Genomic DNA, 12647 nt, shown 5'->3' on the forward strand with positions numbered 1-12647 from the left:
CTCTGGTCACCTTTTATAGATGACCTTTCCCCATCTTAATTTCTCTGTTCTGTGTTTTGTGGCATACCGATTCTGGGTATGCAGTATGTGCTCAGCCAGCAAATCTGGTAATCAGTATCTTAATTGGCTTGGTATTTCCCAGTGTTCCTTTTTCCAAGGCATAATTTATTCTTTCTGTTTTTGAATGTAGCACATAGAATTGTATTACCTGAATTTCACCATTCTGTAAATCCAGTCATTGCTGTATACTTTTCTAGCCCTGACCAGGAAATCTATTCTTTATTTATCATGCTAACAACAACAACAACAGAGAGAGAAGCAAAGTCTTGCTTAAATGCTTTTAATTGCTATGCTGTCCACATGTGCTCATGATGAGAAATGCACCTCTCTCTTCTTCTTCTACCCATTGCTTGGCCTCCCTACTTCCATTTTCTTAGTTTACTCCTAAGAGCCCAATGTAACCCTGACAGTTTCCTTTAGATGTTGGAACAAACTGTTTTCCTGATGTTGAGTTCCTTATCAGTGTGTAAATGGCTCTAAAACATCAGTTTAAGCTCTGTCCCTTCCCTGTTCCAGATTTTGAGGTCTAGCAGGACAGGTACACAGAGGCTCAGCTTCTGGATCAGATCTTCCTGGTATAGGGAGTTGGATACAACCATCTCTACAACTCATCTAGCCCTGCAGCCCATTGGAGATCTCAGGGCCACTGCACACTGTTTTTCTTTACTTGGGGTAGTGCAAATAAGCTGTCACCAGTTAAGAAGTGGTCTCTGTTTAGAGTGGCAAAGACTCACTTTGAGCACTAAAAACAAAAATGGAGAAGAATGTGAAACAAACCAATATTATTTTTACATAAAATACCTTACTTTTTTTTTTTCTGTAATGCATTCCTGGATTCAGCAATTGAAAGCAGAAAAGTGAAAAATGCACATTTTCTTTATAGACCTATGTTCACTGCATAGCTGACAGTAAGTTAAAAATACTTGGCTGGTGAAAAAGGTGAGAAATGGATGATTCAGCCCCTCCAAATAAAGAACCTGCAGCTGAAACTAAAGGCTGGTCGGATGTAGCATTGCAGAATTGGTTTTAGGTTCTCTTCTACTAGGCAAAATTTAAGGTAGTGAGCAGCATGCGCTGCGGTATCTAGACATAAAAGCCTTTATAAAAGTGAAAAAAATGTCAAAATGATAATTTTGAAAAAATGAGGTTCAACTCTTACTCTTAATTAGAAACACCAGAGAGAACACATAACACAGGAGTTCTTGTTACAAATCTGGCCTCTGTTTACCTAACACTTTCCTCTTGCGGGCTGCCTTGTCTCATTTCGAAGGCATTGCAGGAACTGTTTATGACCCTGGCCTGCTCACTCCCCTACAGCTGGTTTATTTTTGACTGCCAGTCAGTCAAGGTGCTAATTGTGCTTATGAATATCTCACAGCTGTTCTTAACACATTGTTCCAAACAGTTCTCTTTGGCATTTAACCATGAATTTTGACTTTTTTTCCCCAGTGCTAACATTCAAGACTCCACTGGGTTGAGAGCTCCTACTTTTTTTTTTTTTTCCTTAACTTATATTTTAGGTTAAGGGTAGATATGCAGGTTTGTTATGTAGGTAAACTCCTGTCACACGGGTTTGTTGTATGGTCCCAATGCTAAGATACTAAGCCTAGTACTCAATAGTTATTTTTTTCTGCTTTTCTCCCTCCTCCCGTCCTCCACCCTCAAATAGGCCTCAGTGTCTGCTGTTCTCTTCTTTGTGTCTATGTGTTCTCATCATTTAGCTTCTGCTTATAAGTGAGAACATGCAGTATTTGGTTTTCTGTTCCTGTGTTAGTTTGCTAAGGATAATGGCCTCCAGCTCCACCCATGTTCCTGCAAAGGACGTGATCTTGTGCTTTCTTATGGCTGGGTAGTAGTCCATGTTGTATATGTACCACACTTTCTTTATCTGGTCTATCATTGGTGGGCATTTAGGTTGATTTCATTTCTTTTAATTTGCCCAAAAACCCCCAAACAACCCCATTAAAAAGTGGGCAAAGAACATGAACAGACAATTTTCAAAGGAAGACATACATGTGGCCCGGGAAGCATATGAAAAAAGCTCAATATCGCTGATCATTAGGGAAATGCAAATCGAAACCACAACGAAATACCATCTCACGAACCAGTCAGAATGGCTATTATTAAAAAGTCAAAAAATAATAGATGCTGGTGAGGTTGCAGAGAAAGGGGAACGCTTATACACTGTTGGTAGGAGTGTAAATTCGTTCAACCATTGCAGAAAGCAGTGTGGTGATTCCTCAAAGAGCTAAAAACAGAACTACCGTTGGACCCAGCAATCTCAATCTCATTATTGGGTATATACCCAAAAGAATATGAATCATTCTACCATAAAGACACATGCACGTGAATGTTCATTGCAGCCCTATTCATGAGAGCTCCTACTTTTGATGTTAACTTCCATTTCCTTTTAATGCTCACCTCTTCTATTGTTTCTTTGCTGCAACCACCTTCCATTTTATTTTTTAAAATAAAATTTTCTTTTAGTAGTTTTAGAAAAATGCAGAAAACATGAAAAGATAGCAAGGAGTTCCCATAAATTCATCACCCAGTTTTTCCTATTTTTAGCACCTTAAATTATTATGGTGTATTTGTCACAATAAATGAACCAATTTTAAATATAGTTCATACTTTATTCAGATTCCCTTAGTTTTTACTTAATATTCTTTTTCTCTTCCAGAATCCCATTCAGGATGCCACATTACATTCAGTATGTCTTCTTAGACTCCTATGGGCTGTGACAGTATCTCAGAATTTCCTTGCTTTTGAATATATTGAGTTTTGGTAAGGTATTTTGTAGACTATTCCTCAAGTGGAATGTATCTGATGTTTTTCTCATGAGTAGACTGGGTTTATGGATTTGGAGAGGAAGACCACCATATCATATCAAGGGTGCATGCTATCAATGTGACTTCTCACTGTTGATGTTTGATGGAGGTAACCTGTTGGTAACCTGACTGAGGTAGTGTTTGCCAGATTTCTCCACTATGAAGTTACTTTTCCCCTCGCGTTCACACTGTGCTCTTTGAAAATGAGTTTCTATACACACGCCATACTTAAAGAATGGGGAATTATGCCTCACCTCTTGGAGCGTAAAGTGTTCACTGTATATAAATTATTTGAAATTCTTCTTTTCTTTTCTGTTCTTTTTTTCTTTCCTTTTCTTTCTTTCTTTCTTTCCTTCTTTCTTTCTTTCTTTTTCTTTCTTTCTTTTCTCTTTCTTTCTCTTTCCTTCCCTCCCTCCCTCCCTTCCTTCCTTCCTATTTAAAAATCAGTATGTGTGTTATACTTTGGATTATATATAATCAAATACTACATTATTTTTAAACTTAAATTGGAGACCAACTTTATTTTTAAGGAGTCACTTGTCACTTCCGACACCCCATCTCTTAATAGTCTTGATTATTATAAGCAGAATAGTATGGTTTAGAGAGTTTAAACTGTATCAACACAATTCTAGACAGCTATTTTCAAAGGCTTCTTCCAGATCCTCCCTTTCTATCCTCCTTCACAATCCCAAGACATTTAAAAGAATAACCTGTGCTTAGAACCCTGCTGATAGAAATGCTTCTGGTTTTAGGTAACTGCCCAAACTTACTGGAACATTACCCTACCTTCTACTCCACTTCGCTGATGTAGTTTTCATCATATCTTCTGTGTGTTGTATTGAGCACTGGCACTCAATAAATATGAAATGATGATCAATACAAGGCACTAAGTGGTCTCAGTTGAGAAAATACTGAACAGAAACACAAAAATATCAAGGTATAATACAATTTTCTTTTCCGTCATCACTGGTTAGCCCGGTTTGAACTTTCTAGATACAGAAGATAGAACATCATGTTGTCCAAAATATAATGAAAATTTCTTCCCAGAAGGCTTTTTAAGGGCAAATGGAAGTACATTTTAAGCCCATAAATCTGTTGCTCATTGTAGATTTTTCTTTACTATATTTTTCAAGTTCATCCCAAGCCATAAATGTCTAAGTGACTTCATGTGCTTGAGGCTCTGAATTTTTACGTTCCCACCACATTCAATTAGTTGGCTCCTTTTGCCCGAGGAAGAAATGGCTTGTTATTTTTTGACTAAAATGCTCCATCTGTTATAACGGCCTTCGTGTATTCATTTTTATCAAGTTACCAGCCACATGTGCCGCTCCAATTATTAGAAATGGAGTTTAGAAAATCTATAATCCCTCCCTAGACAAATATCTTTTTAAATGCTGTTCCACTGGTTGACTTGAGTCCAGAACTCTTTGGGGGCGATTTTCGTTTTCTTTAGTAACAGCCCCTGGAATGCTTTCTACAAGCACGGAATTAGGCAATGGTAAGCACTTCTTGAAGATTACTCTTCTGTTTCATCCTGGTATCTTGAGGTGGATCTCCTTGGTATCTCTGATCCACGATGTTTGCAAAGCCAGACCACTCCCTTATGACTCCAAGGGGCTTCCTGGTTTACTGCTTCTCTGGCCTAGCCCTTCCAATGTTCAGATGTGGTATATGACACAGTTACCTGCTCTGCGGTCTTGCAATGATCATTTATTGTGTTTTTTTTATAAATCATGTCCCCCCAAATTTGAAAATGATGGGCTTATAGTTGGCATTTTTTGGGTGGGCCCATATATATGGATGCTGTGGAATCGAAGTGTGGTATGGAGTACACGCATGTACAGCTGTTTGGTTGGTGGCAGAGGTAGCACTAGGAAAATGGGAATGGTGGTTGCAAAAGGGGCCACAGGTATGGTGTAAGATCTTGACATATGGGAAGCTGTCAGTACCTAACATACGGGAAAAACATTATTTTAGAGCTACATGTGCCTGCTCTCTAAATCATAGAAGCATTGAAGAAAGACTTTGGATTTACCTGAAGTCCTGAGTTCTAGTCCTGTTTTTGTCTCCAACTGGTTGTGTAGCCTACAATAAGTCACTTGGACTCTATAGACCTCTGTTGTCTCATTTGCACCTAAGCGGGTTGGACTAAGACACTTTGGTTCTTGTAATATTGAATAGTTTTTGACAATTTTTCACAAGGCTGCCTTATTTGCCAAGCTAGCATAAGGTCGAATTTTGTGGATATAAAGAATGAAGATAGGTTTTAACCATCTCTCTTTTACTGGAAACAAGAGCAAGCTGGAAATTAAAATGAATTTAAATGCATTTCTACCATGTAGATTTATTGAGTGCATGATACTAAGAATGCAGTAGTGAATAAGACACAGCCCTGTCCTCAAATGTGCTGTTTGTAGACACAAAACATGTCAGTTCCCCCTCCTTCTCTCCACACTCCTACCAGATCTTGAAGGAAACAGTCTGGGACCAAATCTCTGGTTGGCTTTTTCCAAAAGCTCTATTATCTCAGGGTTGTGGCAGAGACCCTTGAAGAGTCAAAGTAAATTCAAGAGACTTCCTAAAAGTGACAGTTTTTATCTCTACATTGTCAGGTTTTTGGACAATAAATCATTATCCAATCTATTTATTACCCAGGCTCCAAGCTGCTGGCGTATATGGTACCTTTTTACAGATAAGGAAATGTATCCTATCCAGAAAAATTGCATCAATGTGTGCCCTCTGTGCACAATTAGGGCAAGGCCCTCTTTCTTACAGGCTGACTCAGCCTCTCACCAGAGCACCCGGTGCCATGAACACACACAGGAGCCTATCAGACCCTGTCCAGACCCTCAGCACATGCCCACACACGATCACCTGGCATCCCTAAGAGCCTCCCTCAGAACAATGCTGCTCTTTGGATGTTTACCAGGAAAGAGGGCTCTCTGAGAGTCACTCTCCTAACAGAACCAGGCTGTTAAGACAGAGTCTATTTCCTTCATGTTTAAAATATGGCACCGTGTGCAAGCTGCCTTGGGGTTTGGGTGACAGGCATTCTATTTTTGTCAGATTGTCCTGGTTTTTAATACTTTTTTCCCTTCGGTGTCCTGAGAAGTCCTTCCGAGTGGCGATGTGTCCTCTTTAATAAATGAAACCACCCATAGAAGAACACAGCACTTGAAATACAACTATGAGGAACATGTAGAAGCAGAGTTGTGATGGCACTGCCAAAGCTCACTGAGCTGGATTCTCCCTCACACACAGTCTTGTTTAATTGGCCTAATGAGTTTGGCTGATGTGACCAAGTGATCAATCAGGTTAGTGTTATGAGATATTGGAAAACAGGATGAGAGAAGAGAAAAGGCTTTTGGCAAATTGACTACAAGACAGGGAGACAAGAAGTCTTGATTTAACAGTTGAACACTTTTTATTTTTTCTCTCATCCCTTGAATGCTGATAAGACATAACAAAACCTACTTGGATGTGCTTGCTTGCACATGTTTCCTTGGTATTCATTTTGCAGACCCCCTCTGTTTTGATTCAAAAATGCTTTTCTTTTTCTCAAACACAATAAGCTAGAAGTTCTGCCTCTTATGAAACATTCAAGAGCCAATGAATGCCTGCTATCTAGAAAAGTGAAATGCCCTCATAGAATTCTTGCGACCTTTATGCATTGTCAACAGATTCTGTGAATAAAACAAAACAAAACATGAATTTTAACACTGATGTGTAACATTAGCTTCATTTCAGCATTAGCCACTTTGATCCTATGTATTTGCTGAAGTGGGTGACTGACCAGAGAGAGGATTTTTGAGTGTGGACTTTCTTTCTCCCTCTTTTCAAATGGCTATTAAGGGAGGAAATCCTGGGGTCATCTCAGTCCAGTAACTGAAACTGCTTGAGACAGACATTCTTCCAGCTCTGGGAAGGTGAGAAATCAGGTGAACTTCTCATGCTTGGCTGGTTTTCCAGTTGACTTGCTGTGTGGGAGGTAAATATGGGTACCCTGCAGCATGTGGAGTTCTGCAGTTCATTTACAAAGACCCAAGGGCTTGATTTTGTTTTCTAAAAGGCAAATTTGAACTTCAGTCAAATTTGTAAAATTGGTATAAATTTGCTCCTCACCTCTGGGAGCAGGAAATGTTTATTTCAGTTCAAATAAATCTGACTCTGTTCCCTCCTCTTCCCTGCAATGCTGGTAGGAAATTTAATTTCATCTATTTCTGCCCCACACTTTCGTTTCGCCATTCAAGGGAACAGAGGGTCTTATACCTTTCAGAAAATCTGAGGAAGGGCCTCTGGTCTTGCTGCTGAAGGGGCTCGCTGGAAAGAGGGTGTATCTGGTGCCACACCCTGCACATCTAACTTGGCCCTGGGGATTTTTTATCCTTCCTGGACCACAGGTTTCAGGATTTAGACCTAGGCCTCCATCACCTCATTAGTAGCCCTGCATAGGATGGGGCCTTAAGGTCCACTGGGATAAAAAGGTCATATCTTTTAGAAACTTCTGAGCTTTCCTCTTGAATAATACAACTATCTCCTTTGGGAGCCTAAGCTTCTGAAAACTCTCTTCCTTGGAGTGAGTCAAGTCTCAGACATCTAGGTCACAGAGCCTTGCTTTCTCCTTGAGATGGACCTAGGGAAAGTATCTCTCATTCTCTCACAATAAACCTACAGGCATACTTAAATTCTCAATCTGTGTTCCCTGCCACATTTGATGTCGTCTTAATTTTTTTCTTATTCTTTTTTTTTTTAATTTTATTATTATTATACTTTAAGTTTTAGGGTACATGTGCACGACGTGCAGGTTGGTTACATATGTATACATGTGCCATGCTGGTATGCTGCACCCATTAACTCGTCATTTAGCATTAAGTATATCTCCTAATGCTATCCCCCCCTCCCCCTACCCCGCAACAGTCCCCGGTGTGTGATGTTCCCTTTCCTGTGTCCATGTGTCCTCATTGTTCAATTCCCACCTATGAGTGAGAAATGCGGTGTTTGGTTTTTTGTCCTCGCGATAGTTTGCTGAGAATGATGGTTTCCAGCTTCATCCACGTCCCTACAAAGGACATGAACTCATCATTTTTTATGGCTGCATAGTATTCCATGGTGTATATGTGCCACATTTTCTTAATCCAGTCTATCGTCGTTGGACATTTAGGTTGGTTCCAAGTCTTTGCTATTGTGAATAGTGCCGCTATAAACATACGTGTGCATGTGTCTTTATAGCAGCATGATTTATAATCCTTTGGGTATATAGCCAGTAATGGGATGGCTGGGTCAAATGGTATTTCTAGTTCTAGATCCCTGAGGAATCGCCACACTGACTTCCACAATGGTTGAACTACTTTACAGTCCCACCAATAGTGTAAAAGTGCTCCTATTTCTCCACATCCTCTCCAGCACCTGTTGTTTCCTGACTTTTTAATGATTGCCATTCTAACTGGTGTGAGATGGTATCTCATTGTGGTTTTGATTTGCATTTCTCTGATGGCCAGTGATGATGAGCATTTTTTCATGTGTTTTTTGGCTGCATAAATGTCTTCTTTTGAGAAGTGTCTGTTCATATCCTTTGCCCACTTTTTGATGGGGTTGTTTGTTTTTTTCTTGTAAATTTGTTTGAGTTCATTGTAGATTCTGGATATTAGCCCTTTGTCAGATGAGTAGGTTGCAAAAATTTTCTCCCATTCTGTAGGTTGCCTGTTCACTCTGATGGTAGTTTCTTTTGCTGTGCAGAAGCTCTTTAGTTTAATTAGATCCCATTTGTCTATTTTGGCTTTTGTTGCCATTGCTTTTGGTGTTTTAGACATGAAGTCCTTGCCCATGCCTATGTCCTGAATGGTATTGCCTAGGTTTTCTTCTAGGGTTTTTGTGGTTTTAGGTCTAACATGTAAGTCTTTAATCCATCTGGAATTAATTTTTGTATAAGTTGTAAGGAAGGGATCCAGTTTCAGCTTTCTACATATGGCTAGCCAGTTTTCCCAGCACCATTTATTAAATAGGGAATCCTTTCCCCATTGCTTGTTTTTGTCAAGTTTGTCAAAGATCAGATAGTTGTAGATATGCGGCATTATTTCTGAGGGCTCTGTTCTGTTCCATTGGTCTATATCTCTGTTTTGGTACCAGTACCATGCTGTTTTGGTTACTGTAGCCTTGTAGTATAGTTTGAAGTCAGGTAGCATGATGCCTCCAGCTTTGTTCTTTTGGCTTAGGATTGACTTGGCGATGTGGGCTCTTTTTTTGGTTCCATATGAACTTTAAAGTAGTTTTTTCCAATTCTGTGAAGAAAGTCATTGGTAACTTGATGGGGATGGCATTGAATCTATAAATTACCTTGGGCAGTATGGCCATTTTCACGATATTGATTCTTCCTACCCATGAGCATGGAATGTTCTTCCATTTGTTTGTATCCTCTTTTATTTCATTGAGCAGAGGTTTGTAGTTCTCCTTGAAGAGGTCCTTCACATCCCTTGTAAGTTGGATTCCTAGGTATTTTATTCTCTTTGAAGCAATTGTGAATGGGAGTTCACTCATGATTTGGCTCTCTGTTTGTCTGTTATTGGTGTATAAGAATGCTTGTGATTTTTTACATTGATTTTGTATCCTGAGACTTTGCTGAAGTTGCTTATCAGCTTAAGGAGATTTTGTGCTGAGACAATGGGGTTTTCTAGATATACAATCATGTCATCTGCAAACAGGGACAATTTGACTTCCTCTTTTCCTAATTGAATGCCCTTTATTTCCTTCTCCTGCCTGATCGCCCTGGCCAGAACTTCCAACACTATGTTGAATAGGAGTGGTGAGAGAGGGCATCCCTGTCTTGTGCGAGTTTTCAAAGGGAATGCTTCCAGTTTTTGTCCATTCAGTATGATATTGGCTGTGGGTTTGTCATAGATAGCTCTTATTATTTTGAGATATGTCCCATCAATACCTAATTTATTGAGAGTGTTTAGCATGAAGGGTTGTTGAATTTTTTCAAAGGCCTTTTCTGCATCTATTGAGATAATCATGTGGTTTTTGTCTTTGGTTCTGTTTATATGCTGGATTACATTTATTGATTTGCATATGTTGAACCAGCCTTGCATCCCAGGGATGAAGCCCACTTGATCATGATGGATAAAGTTTTTGATGTGCTGCTGGATTTGGTTTGCCAGTATTTTATTGAGGATTTTTGCACTGATGTTCATCAAGGATATTGGTCTAAAATTCTCTTTTTTGGTTGTGTCTCTGCCAGGCTTTGGTATTAGGATGATGCTGGCCTCATAAAATGAGTTAGGGAGGATTCCTTCTTTTTCTATTCATTGGAATTGTTTCAGAAGGAATGGTACCAGCTCCTGTTTGTACCTCTGGTAGAATTCGGCTGTGAATCCATCTGGTCCGGGACTTTTTTGGTTGGTAAGCTATTGATTATTGCCTCAATTTCAGAGCCTGTTATTGGTCTATTCAGAGATTCAACTTTTTTCTGGTTTAGTCTTGGGAGGATGTATGTGTCGAGGAATTTATCCATTTCTTCTAGATTTTCTAGTTTATTTGCGTAGAGCTGTTTATAGTATTCGCTGATGTTAATTTGTATTTCTGTAGGATCGGTGGTGATATCTCCTTTATCATTTTTTATTGCGTCTATTTGATTCTTTTCTTCTTTATTAGTCTTGCTAGCGGTCTATCAATTTTGTTGATCTTTTCAAAAAACCAGCTCCTGGATTCATTAATCTTTTGAAGGGTTTTTTGTGTCTCTATTTCCTTCAGTTCTGCTCTGATTTTAGTTATTTCTTGCCTTCTGCTAGCTTTTGAATGTGTTTGCTCTTGCTTTTCTAGCTCTTTTAATTGTGATGTTAGGGTGTCAATTTTAGATCTTTCCTGCTTTCTCTTGTGGGCATTTAGTGCTATAAATTTCCCTCTACACACTGCTTTGAATGTGTCCCAGAGATTCTGGTATGTTATGTCTTTGTTCTCGTTGGTTTCAAAGAACATCTTTATTTCTGCCTTCATTTCATTATTTACCCAGTAGTCATTCAGGAGCAGGTTGTTCAGTTTCCATGTAGTTGAGCGGTTTTGAGTGAGTTTCTTAATCCTGAGTTCTAGTTTGATTGCACTGTGGTGTGAGAGACAGTTTGTTATAATGTCTGTTCTTTTACATTTGCTGAGGAGTGCTTTACTTCCAACTATGTGGTCAATTTTGGAGTAGGTGTGGTGTGGTGCTGAAAAAAATGTATATTCTGTTGATTTGGGGTGAAGAGTTCTGTAGATGTCTATTAGGTCCACTTGGTGCAGGGCTGAGTTCAATTCCTGGGTATCCTTGTTAACTTTCTGTCTCGTTGATCTGTCTAATGTTGACAGTGGGGTGTTAAAGTCTCCCATTATTGTTGTGTGGGAGTCTAAGTCTCTTTGTAGGTCACTCAGAACTTGCTTTATGAATCTGGGTGCTCCTGTATTGGGTGCATATATATTTAGGATAGTTAGCTCTTCTTGTTGAATTGATTCCTTTACCATTATGTAATGGCCTTCTTTGTCTCTTTTGATCTTTGTTGGTTTAAAGTCTGTTTTATCAGAGACTAGGATTGCAACCCCTGCCTTTTTTTGTTTTCCATTTGCTTGGTAGATCTTCCACCATCCCTTTATTTTGAGCCTATGTGTGTCTCTGCATGTGAGATGGGTTTCCTGAATACAGCACGCTAATGGGTCTTGACTCTTTATCCAATTTGCCAGTCTGTGTCTTTTAATTGGAGCATTTAGCCCATTTACATTTAAAGCTAATATTGTTATGTGTGAATTTGATCCTGTCATTATGATGTTATCTGGTTATTTTGCTCAATAGTTGATGCAGTTTCTTCCTAGCCTTGATGGTCTTTACAATTTGGCATGTTTTTGCAGTGGCTGGTACCAGTTGTTCCTTTCCATGTTTAGTGCTTCCTTCAGGAGCTCTTTTAGGGCAGGCCTGGTGGTGGCAAAATCTCTCAGCATTTGCTTGTCTGTAAAGTATTTTATTTCTCCTTCACTTATGAAGCTTAGTTTGGCTGGATATGAGATTCTGGGTTGAAAATTCTTTTCTTTAAGAATGTTGAATATTGGCTCCCACTCTCTTTTGGCTTGTAGAGTTTCTGCAGAGATATCAGCTGTTAGTCTGATGGGCTTCCCTTTGTGGGTAACCTGACCTTTCTCTCTGGCTGCCCTTAACATTTTTTCCTTCATTTCAACTTTGGTGAATCTGACAATTATGTGTCTTGGAGTTGCTCTTCTCAAGAGTATCTTTGTGGCGTTCTCTGTATTTCCTGAATTTGAATGTTGGTCTGCCTTGCTAGATTGGTGAAGTTCTCCTGGACAATATCCTGCAGAGTGTTTACCAACTTGGTTCCATTCTCCTCGTCACTTTCAGGTACACTAATCAGACGTAGATTTTGTCTTTTCACATAGTCCCATATTTCTTGGAGGCTTTTTTCGTTTCTTTTTATTCTTTTTTTCTCTAAACTTCTCTGCTTGCTTCATTTCATTCATTTCATCTTCCATCACTGATAACCTTTCTTCCAGTTGATCGCATTGGCTACTGAGGCTTCTGCATTCGTCACATAGCTCTCGTGCCTTGGTTTTCAGCTCCATCAGGTCCTTTAAGGACTTCTCTGCATTGGTTATTCTAGTTATCCATTTGTCTAATTTTTTTTCAAAGCTTTTAACTTCTTTGCTATTGGTTCGAATTTCCTCCTGTAGCTAGGAGTAGTTTGATCGTCTGAAGCCTTCTTCTCTCAACTTGTCAAAGTCATTCTC

The 12647-nt window shown here is 39.3% G+C and overlaps 1 long non-coding RNA gene across 1 annotated transcript in view, besides 3 other annotated features; it reads left to right on the forward strand.

Moving 5' to 3' along the window:
- The window catches only part of LINC00578 (long intergenic non-protein coding RNA 578), a 310784-nt gene that overhangs the window by 209805 nt on the left and 88332 nt on the right, over positions 1-12647 (forward strand). The gene's annotated exons all lie outside the window — the stretch shown is intronic.
- Positions 1122-1322: a silencer, noted in NCBI's record as "peak4940 fragment used in MPRA reporter construct". NCBI's record gives its function as "represses an SCP1 promoter by STARR-seq MPRAs in K562 erythroleukemia cells {active_cell/tissue: K562}" and the evidence as "EXISTENCE:reporter gene assay evidence [ECO:0000049][PMID:32103011]".
- Positions 1122-1530: a biological region, named in NCBI's record as "Sharpr-MPRA regulatory region 5391".
- Positions 1236-1530: a silencer, noted in NCBI's record as "tiled region #5391; K562 Repressive DNase matched - State 10:DNaseD". NCBI's record gives its function as "represses a minimal TATA promoter and a strong SV40 promoter by Sharpr-MPRA in K562 cells {active_cell/tissue: K562}" and the evidence as "EXISTENCE:reporter gene assay evidence [ECO:0000049][PMID:27701403]".

This window comes from Homo sapiens, chromosome 3 (assembly GCF_000001405.40).
Source record: "Homo sapiens chromosome 3, GRCh38.p14 Primary Assembly".
Classification (NCBI taxonomy): Eukaryota; Metazoa; Chordata; class Mammalia; order Primates; family Hominidae; genus Homo; species Homo sapiens.